The 26,178-nt window shown below is 38.4% G+C and overlaps 1 protein-coding gene across 25 annotated transcripts in view; it reads right to left on the bottom strand.

Annotated features, from left to right (window-relative positions):
* Window positions 1–26,178, bottom strand: part of RIC8B (RIC8 guanine nucleotide exchange factor B) — a 114,635-nt gene that overhangs the window by 65,361 nt on the left and 23,096 nt on the right. For 24 of the 25 annotated variants that reach the window (NR_147135.2, NR_147133.2, NR_147137.2 and 21 more), the window contains one exon: window positions 8,652–9,260. Coding sequence is in view for 10 of the 25 variants with exons in the window: in NM_001351361.2 (NP_001338290.1) it covers window positions 8,652–9,260 (609 nt within the window). In the remaining 15 variants the exon portion in view is untranslated. Of the gene's footprint in view, window positions 1–8,651; window positions 9,261–25,886; window positions 25,980–26,178 lie in introns of those variants that run through there. The other variant, NM_001351364.2, reaches the window with a different exon arrangement.

Below are 26,178 nucleotides of genomic sequence, written 5' to 3'. Positions count from 1 at the left end.
CCAGCACTTCGGGAGGCCGAGGCGGGTGGATCACCTGAGGTCAGGAGTTAGAGGATAGCCTGGCCAACATGGTGAAACCCCGTCTCTACTAAAAATACAAAAATTAGCTGGGCATGGTGGTGCAAGCCTGTTAATCCCAGCTACTCGGGAGGCTGAGGCAGGAGAATTGCTTGAACCCAGGAGGCGGAGGTTGCAGTGAGCCGAGATCATGCCATTGCATTCCAGCCTGGGCTACAAGAGCTAAACTCCGTCTCAAAAAAAAAAAAAAAAATTATCTCATATGTTAAATACCTATGTGAAATGCATTCATTACTTAACTCTTGATAAGATCATATTTCCCTTAGTTTTAAAAATTAACTAGGGAATACACTTCCCTTTAAATTATATTTTCCTTTATTTTAGATATAATAATCTTTCTCTTTTCATGCTGATGTTGACAGACTTTTGGAAATCTATCCATTTGGTCTTTCCATTATTTGCAGCTGCAAACCAAAATTCTACTTTTTACCTTTTCCAGTTTTGATAACATCAACTCCCAAGTTGTACCCGATGTCTACAATGTCCTCTTTTACTCTAAATCCACTAAATTAGCTCTATTTCTCTACTCAAAACAACTACCAAAATCCCTGGATTGTTTGCCTCTGCTCTTTGCATCGCTGGTTCCTTTGCATACTCCAGGTTTCAGCTAAAGTATCTTCTCCGAGAAGACTCTTTTTTCTCTCATGAAATCATAATTTGTAATTTCACATTTGTTTACTTGCATACACTTTGTTTCCTCCACTAATCTACTACCTTAATGAGGAAAGAGGGTGTGTGTTTAATAGGTCATCAATAAATTTTAATGTAAATGTTAAGTATAATGTACATACAGAAAAGTGCACAAATCATAAGCACACAGCTAAATTTTGACAAAATGAGCATACCCATATAGCCAACATAAAAATCATGCAATGCCAAGATTAAGAATCCCAGAATTCTTTCCATACCCCCTACAAATGACCATCTTCTGCTCCTCAAGGGTAATTCTAACTTGTTAATGTCACAGGTTAGTATTTTGGTTGCTACTGAACTTTACACGTATGGAATCATAAAATACAGACTCTTGTGTTGGCTTGTGAGATTCATTCACACTACTCTGTGTAGTTGCAGTCTGTTCTTTGTCATTGTTTGAGAGCAGTGCTATTTGAAGTATGTTTGTGTACCACTGCTGGTCCCCACCCTGTTCATCACTGGCCTGCAACACCATGAGTACAGAAGGTATGTGTGAACATTTAGAAACTTTTGAGCAGTTTGGCGTTGTATGTAATATTGTATTACACAAGAGTTTCATCCTGACAGATTTTTAGGGAAAAAAATCTGGTTCCTCACCTACAGGTAGGTTAAGAAAGCACTGCTATATAGTATTCCAATGTATGAATATGCCACAATTTACTTATCTGCTGTACTCCTGATGACACTTGGATTGTTTCCAGCTTGGGGCTATCTTGAAAAGTGCTGATGTGAACACAATTTTTACATGTCATTTGATATCTACAGGTATACACCCTAGAGAGGAGATGCTGACTCACAGGTTATATCCATATGTCAATCTTTACCAGGTACTGCTGAACAGTGTTTCAAAGTACTTATACCAATTTATACCCCACCAGTTGCTCTACAGGGACACCAATACTTGTTAGAGTCAGCCTTTTTCATTTTAGTCATTCTCACGGATGTGTAGTGATTTCTTGGTTGTAGTATGCATGTTTATGGTGACTAATAAAGTTGAACACCTTTTCATATGTTTATTACTCATTTGGATATCTCTTTTGTGAAGTTCCTGTTCAAGCCCTTTGCTTTTCTTTTTTTTTCTTCTTTTTTTTTTTTTTTTTTTTTTTTGAGATGGAGTCTCGGTCTGTCGCCCAGGCTGAAGTGCAGTGGCACGATCTTGGCTCGCTGCAAGCTCCGCCTCCCGGATTCACGCCATTGTCCTGCCTCAGCCTCCTGAGTAGCTGGGACTACAGGCACCCGCCACCACAGCCGGCTAATTTTTTGTATTTTTAGTAGAGATGGGGTTTCACTGTGTTAGCCAGGATGGTCTCGATCTCCTGACCTCGTGATCTGCCTGCCTCAGGCTCCCAAAGTGCTGGGATTACAGGCGTGAGCCACCGCACCTGAACGCCCTTTGCTTATTTTTCTATTGGGGTGTCTGATTTTTATTTTTATGGGTTTGTAGGACTTTTTAGTGTATTCTGAAGAGAGTCATTGCACATATCTTCTCCTCCTGGTGTCTTGTCTTTTTGCTTCTTTTGATGAATTCACTTTAATGAAAATCGATGTCATTTCTTTAATTAATAATTTTATCCTTATTTTGCCCTGTTTTAGAAATCTTTGCTCATATAAGAAATGTTTGACTTGCATGAGATAAAGTCATGAAGATACTCTTCAGTAAGCTTTATTATTTACCTTGTATATTTAGGTCTCTTATCCATCTCAAATTAATTTTTTGTGTATGGTATAAGATGGGGATTCAAATTCACTTTTTTCCCATATGGCCATACAATTGATAAAGCCCCATTTATTAAAAAGCCCATTCTTTCACTACTGCACTTCAATGTTACCTGTAAGTCAGTGACTGTATCAACTCTATTTATTCTATTCCATTAGTCTATGTCTCCATAAATATCCGTTAGATGAGTGCTATCATTTAAGAAGTCTTAACAAAGCTTAAAGTAGACACTATTTTCTACTGTTGGTTATTCTACTGTGTGACTTTCCTTAAGTAATTTAAACTCTCTGATCTTCACTGTCCTCATTTGTCAAATTGGGTTAATGCTCCTGTCTCACAAAGATGCCAGCAAAGAAATGCAATTGCTTTTTCCATAGCATTATACAAACACAGCTTATACAACTGTTTACTAATTGTTTCCTGATTTAGTTTTGATATTTTCAGGGCATCAATATTCTCTCCTCCTGAAATGATACCACCTTCAAAGGCTGAGAGAGAAAAGAAGTCCCTAAGGATGAAGGGCAAAGGAAGAGAAAGACAGCAAGCAGGCTTGGTTGTGATAGTGAAAATCGAAATGAGGTAACATTAAAATGGAGAAAAAAACTCAGGAAATTCTTTGGGATCTCTTTATATAGCTTTCACATCTTAATGACAGATTCTACTACTGCATATTTCCTTCAAAGTCTTTAAAATAAGCATGGAACTAACCTCTTTTGTGACATTCCTAATTAACTTCTATGGACACTCACTGTTTTATCTCATTTAAATGGTATCCTTTGACTACTCAGATACTTGTACTTCTCTGTGTGCACTGGGTTGTCTGTTTCTAACATGTCTGCTGGTCTGTACTTTCTTATTACGTTTCACTGATACCTTGGAAGCACGGGAGAAGGGAATGTGGTCTTCATTCTAGGGACCCCTTACAGTCCCTAGAATAACATGCTCTCTTCCATCAACAGAGATATTTAGAAAAGTGTTAAAACAGGAGGAAGACAAGACCATTTCAATTAACTTTTCTAAAACTGACTTTATATCCTGCTAAATAAATCAATTGGCTTTTTAAAACACACTAGCTTTAGGAAAGGGAGACAGAGGCTGATTCCACATGTGGAAATAAGGCTAGCTACATTTCCCACTGAATGGAAAGCAAACTCCAAATTAATCTGCTGATGGCATCAGCAGGCAGGCACGAATTTAACACTGAGGCATGAATCTAAAATGAACAAATTGCACTAATTTGCTAAACCTCAAGAAAAACCTAGTCATTAATTTTCTATTTTTGGTGAACTGTAAATGAAAGTGGTCATAAAAATAACTAAAACAGTTTAAAACCAAATGTTTGCATTTTCTGTAACTGTAAAGCTGTGAAACAGGCAAAGATTTTAAAAAGTGAAATGCCCAGGGTTTGAAAAGGTATAAACCAACAATATTTTTCTGAAGGTAAATTTGGCAACATATATAAAAACACCTGAAACTTTGAAACCCGCTGGCCCACCAATTTCAGGAATGTACCTAGAAAGACTTTGTAAGAAAAATCATTAGAATTTAAAACAGCAAGCAACTGCAAACAATCTAAGTGTCTTCAAAAGGGAGATTTGTTAAAGGTTGATACATCTTTCCTTATGAAGGAATACTCTAAGTATATAATATATAAGTATTTTATATATTTTATATATACTTATATATTATATACTTATGAGTATTCCTCCTCCTCTTTTTTTTTTTTTTTTTCCTGAGACGCTGTTACCCAGGCGGGAATGCGGTAATGCAGCCTTAACCTTCTGGGCTCAAGTGATCCTCCCACCTCAGCCTCCCAAGTAGCTAGGACTACAGGCACATGCCACAATACCTGGATAATTTTTATCTTTTTTTATTTTTTGTAGAGATCAGGTCTCACTATGTTGCCCAGGCTGGTCTCAAACTCCTGGGCTCAAGCCATGCTCCTGCCTCAGCCTCCCAAAGTGCTAGCATTACAGGCGTGAGCCACCACTGCACCCAGCCATATTCTTTATTTTCATAGGTCTCTTTATACTTATAAGTATGTATTATTTCACAAGAAGTTAGAAGGTGGTCATCAAAAATTTCTTTTGGGTTGAAGAACCCTTTTTATCCCCCAAGTTAAATCTTAATTACAACCTATATTTAAAGAAAAGCAATAGCAAGAACAATTGGTGCTCTTTATTTAAAGTGAGAGGGAGGAACTTGGAGCACTGTCCAATTACTCCCAGAGGCCACTGCTAGGAACCTTGTGGCTTAAAGAAACACATGTTGAAAACCTACTCTATGAATTTTTATTGTGAAGAAAAAAGACTAAGATTATTAAATGACTGCATTTTTGTAAAAATGTATATATATATTCGTTTATATATTATACAATGAAGAATAGTTAAAAAGATATACTCCAGCTGGGCGCAGTGGCTGACACTTGTAATCCCAGCACTTTGGGAGGCCAAGGTGGGCGGATCACTGAGGTCGGGAGTTCGAGACCAGCCTGACCAACATGGAGACACCCCATCTCTACTAAAAATATAAAATAAGCCATGGGTGGTGGCACATGCCTGTAATCTCAGCTACTCTGGAGGCTGAGGCAGGAAAATCACTTGAACCCAGGAGGCAGAGGTTGCCGTGAGCCAAGATTGCGCCATTGCACTCCAGCCTGGGCAACAAGAGGGAAACTCCATCTCAAAAAAAAGAAAGATACACACCAAAAGGCAAATAGTGCTTGGTGTAGTAGCTTACATCTGTAATCTCAACTACTTGGGAGGCTGAGGTAGGAAGACTGCTTGAGGCTACAAGTTCAAGACCAGCCTGAACAACATAGCAAGACCCACGTCTTAAAAGAATAAAAAACAATTAGCCGAGTGTGGTGGCCTGCACTCATAGTCCCAGCTACTCAGGAGGACGGCTTGAGCCCAGGAGTTCGAAGCTGCAGTGAGCTATGATCACACCACTGCATTCCAGCCTAGGCAACAGACAAGACCCTGTTCTTTAGTTAAAAAAGAGAGGCCGGGCGCGGTGGCTCATGCCTGTAATCCTAGCACTTTGGGAGGCCGAGGCGGGTGGATCATGAGGTCAGGAGTTCAAGACCAGCCTGGCCAACATGGTAAAACCCCGTCTCTACCAAAAATACAAAATTAGCCAGGCATGGTGGCGCACGCCTGTAATCCCAGCTACTCCAGAGGCTGAGGCAGGAGAATTGCTTGAACCTGGGAGCCAGAGGTTGCAGTGAGCTAAGATTGCGCCACTGCATTCCAGCCTGGGCGACAGAGCAAGACTCTCTCAAAAAAAAAAGAAAAAAAAGTGTTTATCTTTTGAGTGGTGAGTTTACAGGTAATTTGTATTTTCTTATTGCTTATATGCCTTTTTCCTTGATATTATACAATGAGCATATATTATTTTCATAAAAAGGAAAAAAATGTTTATTTTAAAAGTTGGATTCTTCTGTACAATAAGTTTTCCATATCCTTTTATTTCAGTCACTGTTTTAAAATTCTGGCAATTCTTTATGGGCTTGCCCAATTGAAGTAAACTGTCTTTTGTGTCTTTTGTCGGACAATCAAGCAGATATTAAAATCCAGGTAAATGGGCTCTTAGTAGCAAGTTTCTCTGCACTCTGGTGAGAGATTTTTTTTTTTTTTTTTTTGAGACAGTGTTTCGCTCTGTCTCCCAGGCTGGAGTGCAGTGGCGCGATCTCCGCTTACTGCAAGCTCCGCCTCCCGGGTTCATGCCATTCTCCTGCCTCAGCCTCCCGAATAGCTGGGACTACAGGCGCCCGTGACCACGCCCAGCTAATTTTTTGTATTTTTTTTTTTAGTAGAGACGGGGTTTCACCGTGTTAGCCAGGATGGTCCTGATCTCCTGACCTCGTGATCTCCCCGCCTCGGCCTCCCAAAGTGCTGGGATTACAGGCGTGAGCCACCACGCCTGGCCGAGAGATTTTCTTTATGCTATGTTGTGGGTCCCTCACTAGAAAGTACTCTATGTTTTGGTCTCTGTCTTTCATACACTGTTTAACTTCCACAAAATGTTCATCCCCCAATTTTTTATCCCCCGGTTTTTCAAATGGCTGAATCGTTCTGTTTTCAGATCTCAGGAGAGACCTTCAGAAAATTTCTCTTACTAAGTATTCTCAATCAGTGCGCTCTTTCTCTCCTAGCACTTAACGGAATTTGAATTATATATTTGTTTACTGATTTATTACCTATCTCACCTAAAAAAACTGAAGTTTCATGAAGGCAAAGACAATGCCTATTATTTGCCAAAATATTACATAATGCAGGGCATTATGTCTAGCAATTGACCATAAATATTCACTGACTGACAGACTGATTGGATGAATGAATGACTAAATGTTTGCTAAAAGTTGACTTTGGAAACTCATGAAGACATTCTTATCTAACTGGGTTGGCAAGAATCTTATTTTCAATAGTATTTAAATTTCTGAGCACTTCAATAATAGCCCAGAGTCACATTAAATGTGCATATTTTATAATGGCTATATCAACTGACTCACAACAGGTACTAGGTCAGAGATACCTGCTCCAGGATTACTGATCCTTTTCATATATCTTTTGAAGAATAAATATTCTATAACACAGAATGAGTATTTGCTACTTCAACATTTTCTAAAGCTTCTTCTAGCTCCGATATTACTTATAACTGAAGTATACTAATAAGGGATAATCTCAATATACTGATATTTATTACCTATCATCCATCTCATAAATATACTGATGTGTAGCCACTGAATTTTAAACCCTTTTTTGTCAGGAATCTGAACAGTGTGAGCTACTATTTTGGGTATAATTTAAATAACAGGGGGCTCTAACAATGGCAAACCAACAGTCTCTGGAATTTAAGGTCTCAAATGGAGAACTTAAAAACCCCAAAACAAACAGCGTAAGAAAAATAACCATAGAAGGTACCAAATAAGCATAGAAACATAACATTTTAAATACTTCCAAATATTTGGTTTCAATGCATAAATGGAGCATGTGGGCTTTCCACATCTTTTCTTGCCAAGTCCCAGGAAAAACTGACCATACTACAGTCATCTAGAACAGCTGTTAGAGCTGATATTCAAATATTTAGTTTCAAAATACAGATCTATTTGCGCTTTAAAACTCAGATGTCTGCATATTCCCCCTATAACAATGCACTGAGATAATCCCTTTAAAGTAGGCTGCTGGCAAAAACAGATCTTTACTCATGGGTGAGAAGTGTTTCAAATGTTAGCCTAAATCTTAAAGTCAATTGTCAAAAAAGACAATTTGCTCTGGAACCAAAAATCTCTTTCTTTTTACAGGAGGGGGTGAATTTCAACAGTTATTTAAAGCTAAAAAGAGAATAAATGTGACATGTTATGCTTCTAGAAGGAGGGAAAAAAGCTTATGTCTACTTCACTTAATTTGTTGACTTCCTTAAACTAAGTTTCCTATTTAGCATATTGTTCTTGTGGGTACTCAAATGTAAACTATCAAATCTGCGTCACTTTGGGTTGCTGAAGGGTCCAAGCCACAGTGAAGAAAGATCTTTGTTTAGAAATAAGTCAAGTGGTTTAAAATAACCTTTCCCACACTCTGGTATAATCAGCTTGTTTTCTAGAACTTATATATGAGCACAGATATCTAGTTGTGGTCCTATGCCTCTGATAGTTATCTAACACTACAGAGAAACCTCCCAGAGACTGGGACAACAGGCATACACAGAGCATCTTCTACTCTCCTGAGCAGACACCAATTCTGATTGATCAACTTCAATTGGCTTGATCTGTCTTAACTTTTCTTTAAGATGGCAGCCACTGAAAATGCCTATAGCTTTATCAACTACATTGTTTTGTTTCCCCTCAAATCTTATAATTTAAACCTTATTCCTGAAAGCGGCACTCTTAAAAAGAGAGAATAATGCAACTCAGAAAACTATATTTGGCATCTTACAAAATAGTAGTCCATTTTTACACCTATTCTGATAGGTGTTATCACACAAATGGAAAGAATAAGACTTACAATGGTTAAGAAGTATATCCTGGGTAATACAATTGCTTAATGGGAGAAGTGGGAACTTTTTCCATTTCCCAACTTGTATTCTTCTCTTGCAGGAAACTCTAGGGATGTCCCAGACCAATTAAATTCCAGGTAGACAAAAATAGCCTTCTCTACCTTACCTCTTTATGCACCTTCCAACTGTCTACCGTCACATTGAAGAGAGCTTTGAGGGCCTCAATGGCACAGTCTGTCTCCTGAGGTGAGAGAGGAGGTCCATTATGGTCTATGGCCGATTCATACTCATCGGTCCACTTGATGCTAAAGGCACTTTCCAAGATCTGCGTTAGCAGCGGTAGTCCCTGGAGCTCATAGCGCAATTGTGACCTGATGTCGGTGTGCAAAAGTGACAGAAGGAAGAGCAAGCGCAAGTCAAAGCACTTAATGTCATTGATAAATTTCCGGTCCTTGCACTTTCTCAGGAGGTTACAGAGCTTTGCAGCAAGATTAAGTTCCAGGCTGAGCTGCTGTGCCATCTGACTGTTGAACACTATATTACACAGACATTTTAATGACTCCACAATAACTGGGAACTCTGATACTTTCTCCAAAGAATCATCTAACTCATTTAGCTTGGCTAGTCGCAGCAGTATCTGCATATTTTCCTTAGTTGTCACAGGAACTAAAACCTTTTTGTCTCTGGAGAGAATGCGGAGTACTTCCAGGCAGGACACTTGACATGTTGTTGGGATGTCCTTTATAAGGACTTTAAATATGCCTTCACAGAGTTTCTGAAAAACAAGAACGAGTATGCAAAAATCATTATTTGGCTCAAATGACTTAACACAGAATGTTTCTCTGCCAATGTACTTAACAACAGTTAAAAATCCAGAGAGAAAAGGTTTTTATTATTTTTTAAATCACGGAATGTTAGAAACTGAAATATAAGGTCACCATCAGGATGGAAGACAATCAGTTTGAATCATAGCTGTTCCCTTCCCAGAAATAAAGATTAACGTCTCAAGAATTGGTTCATATTTGTCCAGAGTACAGGCTCTTGCAAAAAGACTTAAAGAAGTATGCATTTCTGCTGAGTTTTAGTCATGCTATTGCTTCTGAATTTATAGCTCTTTAGCAGCAGTCCCATGTTTCAGAAACCCTTGAACCCCCTTTAGCTAAGATCTAATAATATTTAATCATCAAACAACCCCAGAGAAGAACTTTTGCTGACAAACTGATAAAAAATTATTCAAGTGTTAGGTTCCAAATAGAGTTGAATTAGCATCTATTATGCCTTGAGCCAATTGCAAAAAGGTGACCCCTCCTGGTATACAAACTACAGAAAAAAGTTCCCACTGGGTGGGCAAATTATTAAAAAGCACACATAGCTTGGAAAGCTCAGACTGTGGACAGAATTTTAGCTTTCTTTTGTTATCTTGCTGTAGGGCACAGACTGTACAAATATATGTAGTAGTTCTGGTTCCAAACCTTGCTATCAATATCTCAAAAACAATTCTAGAATGAACCCAAATATCTTATATTTCCTAAAAAGGATTTTTTTATACCATTGTCAAATTTAAGGATCACTGACCACTCCCTCAAAATTCAATGTCAGTTTTCTTCTCTACAAACTGCAGGTCTGGGTCTCTCAAGCTTACCCTTATATGTGAGGCAAGCAGGTATAACTACTCTATCACCGAACATTTCTGTACTCCCTTACATCTTATAAAAACAACAACTACTATTACCAATATAAGATTTTACAAAATTTCTATTAATCTATCATCAGACTTAATTCTTCAATAAAAAGAGGCTGCCTGTGGGTCCCATTGTGATCTTGTCAGGAAACCTAGGCTATGTGCACATAGTCATCAGCTACAAAAATGCCTATTTTAAATGTAGTCATCCCTTGGTATCTGTGTGGGATTGATTCCAGAACCCTCTGCAGATAATAAAATCCACAGATACTCAAGTCTCTTATATAAAATGGTATAGAAGGCTGGACGCAGTGGCTCACGCCTGTAATCCCAGCACTTCAAGAGGCTGAGGAAGGCGGAACATGAGGTCAGGAGATCAAGACCATCCTGGCTAACGTGGTGGAACCCCGTCTCTACTAAAAATACAAAAAATTAGCTGGGCATGGTGGCACGTGCCTGTAATCTCAGCTACTCGGGAGGCTGAGGCAGGAGAATCACTTGAACCAGGGAGTCGGAGGTTGCAGTGAGCCAAGATCATGCCACTGCACTCCAGGCTGGCAACAGAGCGAGACTCTGTCTCAAAAAAAAAAAAAAAAAAAAAAGGCATAGTATTTGCATATAACCTATGCACTTCTTACTGTATACTTGAAGACATCACTAGATTATTTATAATATCTAATACAATGTAAATGCTACGTAAATCGTTTTATTATTTAAGGAATAATGACAGAAAAGTTTGTACATGTTCTACACAACTATCCTTTTTTTCCTTGAGTATTTTCAACCTACAATTGATTAAATTCATAGATGCAGACTGCACGATACAGAGGGATGACTGTATTGCGTTCTCTAAATAGATGTGGAAAAGAACTTTATCTGATAAGACAAAAAAAAATTTCATAACATTGTCAATTCTATCCCTGCCATACCTGATATTTAGAAAGGACTTTCTCTTAATATTTTACTATCATTGTTAAAGCACTTTTTTTGAATGTAGTTTGGGGATAGTGGAAAGTATAATGTGCCCATTAATTAAAAGTATACAGAACAGGGAAAATTTTCTCCATATTTAGATCTTTCATATTCAAGACAAAAAAATACATTCTACATACTGCTTCACATGTGGTATATTCCTGGGGGTGGAGTCAGATCACCTTTGTTTCCACACAATTTTATTCAAGAAGGAAATATCTACCATCCTCCTTAAGTTGAGAAACATGTAATAAGGTATTATAAAATATTATATATGTGAACTTGGAGTTCTACATATCTAAAAGCACACAAATATCTTTCTTCCATTCTAAACCAAAAACAACAGCGACAATAAAATTAAAAAAAAAAAAACAAACTATAGGCAATATGGTACCTTTCTTCCTAATAACTTCAGACTCAAGAAAGAAAAAGAGCAGAGCCTGAAGACAAATTGGAATAGCCAGGGCTATACAAAAACCAAATGGACTGAGAAACTCTGGGACATGAAAGAGATTAAAGGTGCCTACAAAATTTATAGTTAAAAACTGCTTCATCTAAAAGCTTGTAGAAGATCATCCAGCAAGCAAAGACAAGATTTTTTTGCACAGTTTTTAATCATAGTTGTTCTTGAACATACCATTTCTCACTACAGACCTACCTCACACGGTGACTGTTGCACAGCTTTTTGCCATATCTCTTGAAAATTAATACCACTTTTTGGACAACGACTCTTTTTAAATTACAATTTTTAGAACCAAAAACACGTAAAAAATAAAAGTGATGTTTAATAGACATATTTAATGTTTTACTCAATACAATAATTTCTATTTAAAGAATATTATTAGAAACAAATAAAAGTGGTTGAAAAGGCAGCATTCTTTGTAGCTCTTCTATCTGTTGAGTTTGTGTACTGCTTCCATGTTTCAAAGGTGCTCTTGTATTTCCCCTTTATTTTGCCCTGTCAGTACTTTTCTGTGCTATAACTATTTAAGTTGATTTTACTCTTCCTAAAACATGCTCTGCTCTCCTCAAACACCTTTCATACCTTCCTGCTGCCCACAGAATGCTGCTGAAATGGGCCCAATTTCCCCTTTCCTACTGTTGTCTGATACACACAATGCAAACACACACAGTTTCTTCTTCAGGTGTTCCAAATTGACCCCCAGACCCTGACCATGATACATCCTGAGTCTTTCCTCCACTGTTCCTTCAGCATGGTATGCCCTGCCACTACATCTACCCATCAAGGATTGCCAAAAACTTTTTAGTAGTTTGCTCCCGAACTGAAATCCTAGAGTGGACTCTAAAGGTGGTTCTCAAACTTCATCATGCATCATAATCACCTAAAGGACTTTTAAAAAACAGACTGTTGCACCTCATCCCTAGAGTTTCTGACTCAGTAGGTCTGGGATGAGGGTCCAGAAATGGGACTTTTAACAAATTCCTAGTTGATGCTACTGCTGGTCCAGAATCCACAATGTGAGAATCACTGAACTATGATTAACAACAGAGTGACATAATTCGGACGTTAGGGTCAAGGGTTAACTGAGAATACCTGACCAGACGAACACAGAAAAGCAGGCAGACTTGAAAACCATTAGCACATTACCTTGACTTCTCCTTCACTGCCATGTGCTAAAGATGTGTAAGGGTGGCAGGGACAGGAATGAGATGTCAGTTTCTATTGTCACATTACGTTTCTTAACTAAAATGTTAAAAACTGCCAAAGGTGTGAGGCATATTACTTGTTTAAGGTCAGTGATCCTGGGCTTGAAATTTGTTCAACCCACCATAGACTCTAAAACCAAATCAGTGTGGTAATTAAGAGTAGAAGTTCTGAATTTAAATTGTTTGTATGCAAATCTTGGCTCTTCTTCTGAACAATTGTGGCCTTGGCAAGTTACTTGTCTCTGGACCTCATTTACTGCAAGAATTAAATGAGATCGTGCATGTACAAACACATAGGGCAGTGCCTGGCAAGTGATAAATGTTCAGTACAGGTTATCTGTTATACATTATTATAAGGTAAAATGTCAAAGTCCTCAGTTTGGCACTTAAGATCTGCTAACCTGCTCTGAGTCTTCTTTCATACTATTCTTATCAAATTTTCCTCTTTAGCTATATTTCTTTCCAAATTATCTCATATTGAGCTTCTTTGCTTTTTTACAGCCTCCCTCTACACATCAGTCCTTTTCCTTTTCTATTTAAGTTTTAGCAATTCTCGAAGGCTAAGCTTAAAACCCACTTTCAACATAAAATTTTCCCTAACCACTTCAGCCCTCAACATTCTTCTTTTCTAAGGGATACCTAAACCACAAATCTGTAGCAATCATTTGGTGCTTAGCACATCCGTCCTGTCAGTTTTCTTTTTATGAGTTTGCCTCAACTACTAAAAGCTCTCTGAAGGCGGAAGGGACATCTTTTTTACGAAGAAAACGTATTGTAGTGGCTTTTAAATCAAAGACCGGAGTTTAATACCTGGGTTTGCCACTGTGTGACTTTCTTTTCTTTCTTTTTTTTTTTTTTTACCAGCTGTATGATTTAGACACTTCTTAACCTCAGTTTCCCATTTTTAAAAAATGGGAGGCTGGGCATGGTCACTCATGCCTATAATCCTAGCACTTTAGGAGGCTGAGGTGGGAGGATCAAAAAAAAAAAAAAGGAAATAACATCCATATCTCACAGGGATGTTATAAAATAGACGCTGGGACATAATAAGCACTCTTTAATGGTGACTACTATTATGTTTTATTTTTTCCTAAGAAATAAATAATAAATAATAAATAATAAATATGTTTTATTTCTTCCTAAGAAGTGATAGTAGAAGTGGCTTTGTGGTGGATATGGAGGGGTTGGTTAATGGGTACAAAAATACCATTAGAAGGAATAAGATCTAGTGTTCAGTAGCCCAACAGGTCAATTACAGTTACCAATAATTTATTATATATTTCAAAAGAACTAGAAGAACAGAATTGGAATGTTCCTAACACAAAGAAATTTTAAAAGTTTGAGAGGATGGATACCCCAATTACCCTGATTTGATCATTATACATTGTGTACACTTGTGTCAAAGTATCACATGTACCCCATAAATATGTAGAATTATTACGTATCCATAAATTTTTTTTTTGTTTCAAATTTTGGAGATTTCAGGTTTGGGGATTTGGGATGTGTAACCTGTAATATTTTTTGCTTATGTGCTTTACAGTTTACAAAAAACTTTTATGTTTCTCAATCTAAGAAATGCTTACTGAACACTTACTGCACAATTCTTTTTTTTTTTTTTTTTTTTTTTGAGACAAGAGTCTTCTCTGTCTCCCAGGCTGAAGTGCAGTGGCACAATCTCGGCTCACTGTAACCTCCGCCTTCGGAGTTCAAGTGATTCTCCTGTCTCAGCCTCCTGAATAGCTGGGATTACAGACACACACCACCACGCCTGCTAATTTTTGTATTTTCAGTAGAGATGGGGTTTCGCCATGTTGGCCAGGCTGGTCTCAAACTCCTGACCTCAGGTGATCCTCCCACCTCGGCCTCCCAAAGTGCTGGGATTACAGGCCTGAGCCACCATGCCCGGTCCCACCACACAATTCTTAAAACGTTAAATGATTGCCTGGAGCCACTTGGCTAAGAAATAAAAGATCAGGACTCAATCCGGATCATCTGATTCCAATGTAATTTCCACTGTAAATTATGATCATACCATAGCTGTCTCCGATTTATTGTGATTTTGAGCATGTCACTTTATTAGGCCTTTTTTTCCCTCCACACCGTGCATTAAAACTAAATGCCCTCTAAGACAACCTTCTTTGAGCTCCAGAATAGTAGGCTTTTTTTTCACTCTGAATCAATAAAACAAGGATCATCTTTGGCTTTAGCTATGAAACAAAATAGGCTATGAAGCATATGTGGGCATTCAAACGATCTATCAAGATTTATATACTATCTTAAGAGGTGATTTCTAAAACTATTAAAAAATTAAAAGTTTTATATTTTATACATAAAGAAAATGTCTTTGTTTAAAAGATTGATACCACAGTTCATCTACTAGACTCTGGGAATCCAAAATAGGTTATTAGAAAACACTTTTGAGGCAAGTGCTACTTAGAAGAATTGTCCATTGATTAGTGCCAATTCACCAGCTCCTTGTTGCTAGATCATGTTGAGATAGGTACATAAGGTGAGACAGGCATAAAAAAAGAGTATGCATTTAGAAACTTTCATAGTAATTTGATGATTATTTCTTTTAGTGATTAATTTTTATTATATTTTAGAAAAGTATTGGCCTACTGCAAATTAGGGAAAAACAAACAAGAAAAGACCTTGATCCTTCATCTCAAATAATTTGAGAAGCACTGTTCTAGACCACATTTCTTATCCTTTGTAAGTTTTCTTCAACCATATAAGGTAGCAAAACTGAGATACCAGAGTAATAAATAAATAACATAAAGTTTCATAAATATAGTTGTCCCTCAGTGTCCTCAGAAGGCTAGTTCCAGGACCTCCATAGATACTGAAATCCACAGATGCTCAAGTCCCTAATATAAAGTGGTATAGTACTTGCATATAACCTTTGCACAACCTCCCATATACTTTAAATCACCTCTAGACTACTTATAATACCCAATACAACATAAATGCTATGTAAATTGTTATACTGTATTTTTTATTTGTATTTTTTACTGTTATATCATTGTTTTGGGAGGTTTTTTCCCCTAATTTTTTTTTTTTTTTTTGAGACAGAGTCTCGCTCTTTTGCCCAGGCTGGAGTACAGTGGTGCGATCTCAGCTCACTGCAACCTCCGCCTCCCAGGTTCAAGCGATTCTCCTGCCCCAGCCTCCTGAGTAGCTGGGATTACAGACACGTGCCACCACACCCCACTAATTTTTGTATTTTAGTAGAGATGGGGTTTAACCATGTTGGCCAGGCTGGTCTCGAACTCCTGACCTCAGGTGATCTGCCAGCCTTGGCCTCCCAAAGTGCTGGGATTACAGGCATGAGCTACAGTGCCCAGCCTCCCCTAAATATTTTTGAATTCTGTTGGTTGAATCTATGGATACAGAGGGCTGACTGTAGGCTCATCTAACAGTTTAATTGTTAGACACTGTGATGGAAACTGATAGCTGTCCACCAAAACTCACTGTCCTTTTCTCATGCAGTAACAACTGTGGCAAGGCCCATGGCTACCTAGCTACACCATATTCCCCAGTTGTTCTTCACTGCTATATGATGGAGCTCTTGCCACTAGAATGAAAGTGTATAGACACGATCTATGCCATTTCCAGGTCTGGCTCTTGAAGACAGTGGGTATGACTTCTCCACTGTCTTATCCCCTTCTATAGCCTAAAACCTGAAAGTGGCAGTCCAGCCTAGGTTAAGACAATGCTCAGAAGGTGAAGCATGACTTGACGACTTGAAAGGAAACAGGCCCCTGAATAAATTCATAAAGCAGAGCCATTCACTGCCTGAATGATTATCTCAGAACTATTACTTGAAAAGGTAATAAACACTCATATTTTGTAAACCACTTCTATCTTGAGGTCCCCTTGTTAAAACAACTTAGCTTTAACCTAAATATAATACAGCTTTGAAATATGGTATCCCATTGATGTACCATACAGAATCTGTACCATACAGAATCAAAATGGGTTGGACTGGAACAAACATAGTTTCAACTAGAGTGGTAGCAGCGGAGAGGGAGACAAGCGAATGGATTTGGTGTGTATTTTAGAGGGAAAATTGACAGGACTTACTATTTGTGGGGGAGAGGGAAGTTTCTGGCTTAAGCCAACATAGTACCATTTATTGAGAAGGGGATGACTGAGGAAAGAACAGGTTTGGGGGAAAATTCTGTAAGGTCACATTAAGTTTGTGATAACTAGAGATGTCAAATAGGAAGCTGAATGTATGTGGCTGGAGCCCTAAGCAGCCATCAGGGTTATCTATGCTTTCTATATGAATAAGGGCATTCTTTTATTTATTTATTTATTTTTGAGATGGAGGCTCACTCTTGCCTAGGATGGAGTGCAATGGCATGATCTTGGCGCGTGCAATCTCCGCCTCCCGGGTTCAAGCAATTCCCCTGTCTCAGCCTCTCAAGTAGCTGGGATTACACGCGCGCACCACCAGGCCCAGCTAATTTTTGTATTTTTAGTAGAGACGGGGTTTCACCAGGTTGGTCAGGCTGGTCTCCAACTCCTGACCTCATGATCCACCCACCTCAGCCTCCCAAAGTGCTGGGATTACAGGCGTGAGCCATTGCGCCGGCAATAAAGGCATTCTTAAGTTACAAAAGTAAATGAGATTGCCTAGAGAAAAATATATAGAGAAAAGGGGGACTAAAAGCCATGAAAGATGCCACCACTCAGTGGCTGTGGGGAAGAAAAACTGATAAAGGAGGTAAAGAGGTATTAGCAAGAGGAAATTTAGGAGTGTGGTGTTCTGGAACACAAGATGGCAGAAAATATTTTATGTAGGGAATGGTCAGCTGTTTGAAATGCAGATGAAAGATCAAATAGCATTAAGACCTGGCAATGCTAGAGCACAAATGGCCTTGATAAAAACAGTTTCTGGGGACAGGCACAGTGGCTCATGCCTGTACTCCCAGCACTTTGGGAGGCCGAGGTGGGCGGATCACCTGAGGTCGGGAGTTCGAGGCCAGCCTGGCCAACGTGGAGAAACCCCGTCTCTACTAAAATTACAATTAGCCGGGCATGGAGGCACATGCCTGTAATCCCAGTTACTTGGGAGGCTGAGGCAGAAGAGTCGCTTGAACCCGGGAGGTGGAGTTTGCTGTGAGCCGAGATCGCACCATTGCACTCCAGCCTGGGCAACAAGAGCAAAACTCCATCTCAAAAAGAAAAGAAAAAAACCAAACACAAAAAAACAGTTTCTGAAGAGTAACTGGGAGGTGAAAAAGAGAGAGAGAAGTAGATACCTTTCAAGATGTTGCTGTAAGACAAACAGAGAAATGGGCTGGCAATAAGAGGGAATGTAAGATCAAGAAAGGCTGTTCTTTCTTTTTTAAAGAGAAAATATACTAGTCCACGTTTATATGAGAAGAATGAAGAGTCTGGAATTAATCCAGAGGGAAATGGGGAACTTACTGCAGAGTATTAAGCAGGATAATGACATTAGATTTGTATTTTGGAAATATTACTCTGATGTTAATGTGGAAAATGAACAAGAAAAGGGGAGCAGGACCAGAAGCAGGGCAGTTAAGTGGTTGTTGCAGTAATCCTAGTGAGGGATGATGGAGGTCTGAACTAAGGCAGTGGTAATGAAACTGGGAAAATTACAGGGTTTTTTTTGTTGTTGTTGTTTGAGACAGGGTCTCACTCTGTCACCTAGGCTGGAGTGCAGTGGTGCCATTATGACTTACTGCAGCCTTGATCTCCTGAACTCAAGTGATCTTCTCACCTCCCAAAGTGTTGGGATTACAGCAGTGAGCCATGGCGCCCAGCAGAGGAAAGATTTTAAGGGTGCAGAATTGACTGAATGATTGGTGGAATGATTGGTCAAGAATGAAGAAGAAAGAGGAGGCAAGGAACCTCATAGATTTCTAACTTGTATAACTTGGTTGTTGGTGGTATCTTTTACTTCTGAGATAGGTGACTTGCTTCCTAAAGCTGGCAGCAAAAAGAAAATGTTGCTGCCTGGTAGACATTTCTCTTTAACTGTCCCATAGTAGATACCTGAAATAAAACACATCCAAACACATTAACCAGGAAGGGGCCCGATCCCCCATAACTCACCTTTCTAAAACTCACATTCAACTACTTATTGTCACAATATCCTTGATCTAGGCACAATAATCTACTCTCTAATGCCTGTCCAAACTTCTGTGCCTTTTCTCATGTTACTTCCTGGATTCAAAACGTCTTCCCAACCCCTGACCTTCTTGAATCACTCCTCCCTTCAAATCAAACGCTATCTTTTTCACCATCCCCCAGCAGGAAGTAATCCCTTCCACCTCTAAATCCAGAACACTTAATCTCTAGCACTTTTATAGCACTTAACACCTCTGACCTTGAATTATATTTATGGAGAGTTCTCTCTTTTATCAGCTTTGGCGGGGGCAGGGTCTGTTTAACATATTTCTCTTCTTCCACATGCACAAAGATGCTGTCAAATATGTTGAATATTTACAAACATACATACTAAGTATGACATCTTCAAAGCACTGTGTGCTATAGAATATTATTTCCAAACATTTAATAGGTTATTAAAGCTCTGGATTTGATTCCCAGCTGCCACCTGACCAATTTATTTACTTCCTTACCTGTAAAACTGGTATAATAGTACCTACTTCAGCCTAGGCATGGTGGCTCACGCCCAGCACTTTGGGAGGCCAAGGCGGGCGGATCACTTGAGGTCAGAAGTTCCGAGACCAGCCTGGCCAACATGGTGAAACCCCATGTCTACTAAAAATACAAAAATTAGATGGGCGTGGTAGTGGGCGCCTGTAATCCTAGCCACTCATGAGGCTGGGGCAGGAGAATCGCTTGGGCCCAGGAGGCGGAGACTGCAGTGAGCAGAGATCACGCCATTGCACTCCAGCCTGGGCGACAGAGCGAGACTCTGTCTCAAAAAAAAAAAAAGAAAGAAAGGAAGGAAAAAAAAGTACCTACTTCATAGGGTTGTTGAGGGAATTAAATGAGATGATGTGCATGTGCTACCCTAGAATTAGTCAATAAATGTTACTTATCATTGTAACTACACCACACATGCCACATACAGTATTATCATATGTTTTAATAAGAAGCTACAAGGTATAATAGAGAATATAAGTTGGATATGACTGCTATTTATTATTTGTGAGATCTGGACAAGTTATTAGGTTTCTCTGAGCTTTAGTTTCATTACCTATAAAACGGGGATAATACTCCTTCTATGACAATGTTGTTTTATTAAATGAAATGATGGTACACAGTAAGAGCTAAAATTTTGCATTTCTAAGAACAAGACCTATAATTAAAGATCTTAACCAATAGCAACATTTTAAAGGTGGCTTGTTTTTCTGATTGAAATAAGTCCACATGTAGAAGTGACATAGTTTTCTCTCCAACATTAGTGTTTCTCAAAAGGATTTAATGGGCTGAGGGTTTCAGAAATCTTTACTATGAGTTGGTGAAACTCAGATAAAGATGAATAGATTAATTTAGAATAAAAATGGGCCAATAATTGAATACACTGAAACAAAGGGGCACAGAGAAAGTGAAAAACTGCAAAAGACAGGGAGTAATGTTTGTTTTATTTACAAGAAACAGGAAAATGCAATAACTTTCCAGTACCAGCTGGAAAAAATGGCAGGATACACACACATTACAAGCATTGAGTTCAACTTGTTAGTAACCTAGGATAACTACAGTCTAGAAACGAGCTGCACAGTCAAACAAACTGTGTCCAATTTCAGAATGTTAAGAGTTAGAAGGCACTATAATGATCACTTACCATTAACAAACACTAGCAGTACAAAAGATTCTATAAAAATGGGTTTTGTAGGCAAATAAGCTTGGGAAACTTATAAGGCATATCAAACTACCAAAGATTCTCCCATGTATTATGGAAAAGAAACTTGCTTTTTTTTTTTTTTTTTTTTTTTGAGACAGGGTATCATCACTCTTGTCACCCAGGCTGGAGAGCAATGGCACGATCACAGCTCACTGTAACTTCGAACTCCGGGGCTCAAAGGATCCTCCTGCCTCACCCTCCCAAGTAGCTAGGAATAGAGGTCCAATTAACTGTGTTCAGCTATTTTTTTTTACTTTTAAAGACAGGGTCTTGCTATGCTGCCCAGGCTGGTTTCAAACTCCAAGCCTTAATTAAGCAATCCCCTCACCTTTGCCTCCCAAAGTGCTGGAATTGCAGGCTTGAGCCACTGTGCCCAGCCCTGTTCATTTTTTTTAAACTGATATTTCCTTACTTTGACCATAGAACCCTTTCAAAAAATAACACCTATTAACATACTCAGGACAAGAGGATTTATAGATATGAAAACTGACTCCCAGATAGGCTAAATGATTTGCTTAAGGTAGCAGAGAAAGCTACAGCAGAAAAGGGGACTCAAATTCTTATTTGACTCAGTCCTACTCTCTTTTACTGGTATCTAGTGATACACAAGAACTAAAACAAAAATGAGTGTTCTTAACATTAAAAGAAATTCTGGGCTAAACCAGGCCAGTGAAGGGAATTTCTAAGAACAGATTTTTGTTTTCCTTAAATAAACAGACCTAAATCCTTAAACATGGTTCTACTTAAAAAAAAAAAAAAAAAAAAAAAAAAATTCTCATATTGTAGTGGCAGTGAAATACCTATCCCTATAGTCTGCCACTTTCTCTTTAAAAAAATAGAATAGATAATAGAATAGACTCCTCCTTCCCTGCTTTTTTGTCCATTATGGCTACAGTGTTAGCCACATGCTTGAATTATACTCACTTGAATCTACCAGTATACTCCTATAGTGACGGGATAGACCCTAATCTTAAAATAGGTTATGCACATTCATCTGGGAGATGTGGCCCAGTGCCAGGGATACTTAAAGTCATAGGGTAATTTTGGTACATATTCTTTAACCACTATTTTACTAAAAGATTTATTTGGGGTAGGCGATTTCTACATGAAAATAAATGAATGCATTACAAATCACAATACATAACTTACATGAATGTTAAGATAAAAAATGAGATGTCAAAGGAATTTTTGTAGTTAAGGCAGGCTCCCTTGGATGGATGATGTTTCCCTGGCCTCTCAAGGTTATGTCTACACTCTTCTGTGATGAACGTCACTGGATATATATTCCACAAGGATCTAATTTTAGTTCTTAACTGGAGCTGAAGGTCAGCCACCTAAATCTGATAGTCCTTAATTTCTGCCCTCTGTATACAGCACGTGTATGTAGGGGGGAACAAGAGGTACATGTGTACATGCAGAAGATGAGGGTTGTATTAAATTCTAAAATAAGCTTACTATAACTGTAGTTGGGACAATGTTGTCAGTTCCACAAGACGGACCTATTCAAAAACTGTATTTCACAAAAATACTAGTTAATGACTTATTGCCAGAATTTTAAAATATGTTTTTAATAAAGGTTCTGGGAGGATTCTAGAGGTCAAATTTGGAATTCTTTATAAAAAGCTAACATGGAGATCTTCTAAAATGAATACTCATGCAGCTGAGTTCATGTAAAAGATTAATATTATATACACTTGAGGGTTTTTCCTACTTGTAATATGGGAGGCAATGGCAATTCTCACTTTTTATTTAATGGATACTGTCTCTATGAACGAGGCTGTATCTCACTTCCTAAATTTCATCTCTAACTTCCTTTCCTGCACATGTACATGTTTCAGTAACACAATCAATGTTATGTTATATATCATGGTGATCTGTCAAAAAAACTGAAAATAAAGTTCTGAGAAACAATTATTAAACAAGTTTGGCTCAAACTTTTTTGCTAATTAGCAATCCTGAGAAAGACACATTACATCATCAAGAGTTCATTAACAGGAAAGAGCTTAGGTGTAAATGGAAGCTTATAAAACCAATCAGCTGCCCTTTCTTTCTTGACAAGAAAAGTTTTATAAGCTTCCACTTACAAGCCTCCATTTTGAGGGCAAAAATGGGTATGTCAAAACTTTCTATTTCTCTTCAAACACAGTACCAGCCAACTCTGCTTCTTTTACTACTTAAGCCTATTTTTCAGAAAGCCCTGTTCTCCACTGCCCATGTGAAATGTATTTTAGTATTTAAAGTTAGTATGTTGGCAAATACAGCGGTATCTTCATTTGTTTCAAATTAGAATTTACCAAATGAGAGAACAATACTCATTTAATCTTTAGGGAGTTCTTAGCACAAGCTATAGTTTGATTATACAGTACACTAGGCAAGGCTGCAAGATGAACACTGTCACAATAACATATACCTCATATCTTGGTGGCTGATATAAATCCTGGTCCTATAGCAGCCCCTTTGCTTCTTTGCCTTTTTAGTGAATCAAGTTCTTTCCTATATACAATCTCTTTGGAATTTCCTTACTTTGTCTCCAATGCCATCTACTCCACAACACTCAATTAGCCACTCTGAACTAGTTCCTCTATCTTTGAATCCCTGGTTTTCAGCTCTAATAGCCCAAGCACGTATGAAAGATAGTCAGGGACTCTGATGGTAAGCTAACATATGGACTGTATGTTTGTGTCCCATGCCCCCAGATTCATATGTTAAAGCTCTAACCCACAATGTGATAATATTAATATATGGAGATGGGGCTTTCGAACAGTGATATGGTTTGGATCTGTGTCCCCCCTCAATCTCATGTTGAAATGCAATCCCTGGTGCCGGAGGTGAGAATTACATGGTGGGAGGTGACTGGGTCATGGGGGTGGATTTTCCCCTTGGTACTGTCCTGAGTTCTCGTGAGATCTGGCTGTTTAAAAGTGTGTAGCATCTCCCCCTTCTCTCTCTCTTCCTCCTGCTCAGCCACATAAGGTGTCTCCCTCCAGCTTTGCCTTCTGCCATGAGTAAAAGCTTCCTGAGGCTTCCCCGGAAAGATGCTGCCTTGCTTCCTGTACAGCCTGTAGAACTGTGAGCCAATTAAACCTCTTTTCTTTATAAATTACCCAGTCTCAGGTATTTCTTTATAGCAGAGTAAGAACAAACTAATACAGAGGTAAGTGGGGTTAGGTGAAGTCATGAGGGTGAGGCCCCGGTCTCTTGGGATTACTTCCCTTATAAGAGACACCAAGAGCTTGTGTTCTTGCTGTATAAATGCATACAAAGAAGTGGTTATGTGAGCACACAGTGACATGGCAGCTGCTCACAAGCTAGGAGAAAAGGCTTCGAAAGGAAATCTACCTTGACAGCATCTTGATCTTGACTTCCCAGCCTTCAGAACTGGGAGAAATAAATTTCTGTCCTTTAAGCCATACAGTCTACGGTATTTTGACAGCTCAAGCAGACTAAGATAGCCGAGAACAGGGGAAAGAGGGAAGTTAAGTTGTCTCAATGAGATAGCTGTGTGATTTTAGAGGTCTTCAAAGGCATAAGAACACATTAATAATATAGCAGAAAAAGTACGGAAACAAAATATGTGGGTTCTTCCTAATCCCTAGTTCTATTTTCTGAACTTGGATCTGGAGTAAATTGATCTTTCTGAAACTAAATTTCCTTATTTGTAAGATAGAAATGTATCTATCTCACATGCTTATGGTAATTATTTACATAGACAGCATATGAAAGACCCTATTATGAAGTATAAGGCATCTTTTACGTGACTTAATTGAAACAGTATAGTTGAAGTAAAAAAAGCACCTGGATTCAGCCACTAGCTGTGCTCTGCCCCTGTGGCTAGGTAATCTTGGGCAAATTTCTTGAAATCACTTGAGCTACATTTCCTTAACTCTAAATAGATAGGGATAACAACTAGGGCTTATAAATATGAAATGAGATGATATATTAGAAACCTCTAGCATAGTGCTTGGCATAGAGTAGGAGGTTGATGCACATTACATCATAAAGATGGCCAGATGGACAAACAGATCAAGAAACGTTAACAAGCACATTCTATACAAGAAAAATATTGCTAGAAATATTTTTGTTTTGTTTACAAGGGTTTGCATTTTAATGAAATGGCAAAGCCACTTGAGAAAGGGAAGTAGTGATGTTATAAAAAATAACACTGCAGTTTTTCTATTAATTCTATAGATTCTACAGTGTCCATTACTGAGCACCTATGTACACCACCCTGATACAGGAACGTATCTGAAAATGTTCCCAATTTAAAATTTAAGTGCATGCAAATTATTCAAGAGAAATATATTCTAACTTAGTGACAAGATGTCTATTTTGAGTTAGTGAGATATAAAAGAACATGACTCAAGTAGTTTATAATATTAGGGAGGTTGAAACTATGTAAAATGAATAAGAAATGCTAAATTTCAATAGACAGCAATTTAAGCTATGTGCTAAAAGACTGAAGGAATGAACTATAAGAAATTTTGCCAGAGAAAGCTTTTTGATAAATGTGTTGGGCAGTAAGTGGGGGAAAAAAATGATAAAGACTAAGTGGCAAAAAAGAGGTGGAAAGCTAAGTCAAATGACGGACAACAGCAGCAGAGAGAAATATGGGTAAACTAGGACAAGCAAAGCAGATTTAGAGTTCATATAAGTAACAGCCTTCTAACAATTACAGCTATCTAAAAAAAAAAAAGTACAGTGGCTGCTGTAAGCTTTCCATTACCGAAAGTATTCAGTCAGGGTGATGACCCTCAGTGTAGGATGCCTTAGAAGGAATCATACTGTACTGGAAGACACTGTGGGTCCCTTATTACACTGTGAGCTATCTGAGGATAGGCCCTGCAAAGATCATCACTGAAGTCAGAAAAGAAGACAGAGGAATTGGTTTGAGTTCCAGCTTTTCTGCTCATTAACTCTGATCTTGGGTAAGTCAACCTCTAGTTTTTTTATCTACAAATAGAGGAGTTGAGAACGTGGAAACATCTGGTCAGCCAAGAACTTTCAGGTCCCTATGAGTTTTCCATACATCAAAGATGTACAAATTTCTGCACTTTGCTCAGCATCTGATCAAAATTTGAAAGGAAGAAAAAAGCCAGCTACCGAGAAAAGGAAACCTTACATTTTTGACAACAAAAAATGAATCCGAGGCATCAAAAAGATCTACGATATGCCTAAGTGTTATAAGGCCAGTACTACACAGCTATCTTCTTCACTAGTTATTTTATTCAGTCACTTACACTGGCAAGCATGATCTTCTGTTTTCTGTCAACGCTATAACTAGTTTAATGTCAAAGCTTTATGTTCTCCATCAAATCTCACATTTCGGGTGCCTAAAATCAGGAAATAAATAGAATCGATTCATAAACTACACAACAGGTCAATCCAATTATTAATGAGCGGCAGTACGGTGTAGCACACGGGTCTTGGAGCCAGGCTGCCTAAGCTCGAATCATGGCCTCCAACTTCTTTATTTTCAGCGAGTAATTTCTCTGCGTGCCTTTGTTTCCTCATCTGTAAAATAAGCAAAAT

Source organism: Homo sapiens, chromosome 12, assembly GCF_000001405.40.
Source record: "Homo sapiens chromosome 12, GRCh38.p14 Primary Assembly".
Taxonomy (NCBI): Eukaryota; Metazoa; Chordata; class Mammalia; order Primates; family Hominidae; genus Homo; species Homo sapiens.
The sequence above is the reverse complement of the archived record's forward strand: the minus strand, read 5'-3'. Positions and strand labels throughout refer to the sequence as shown.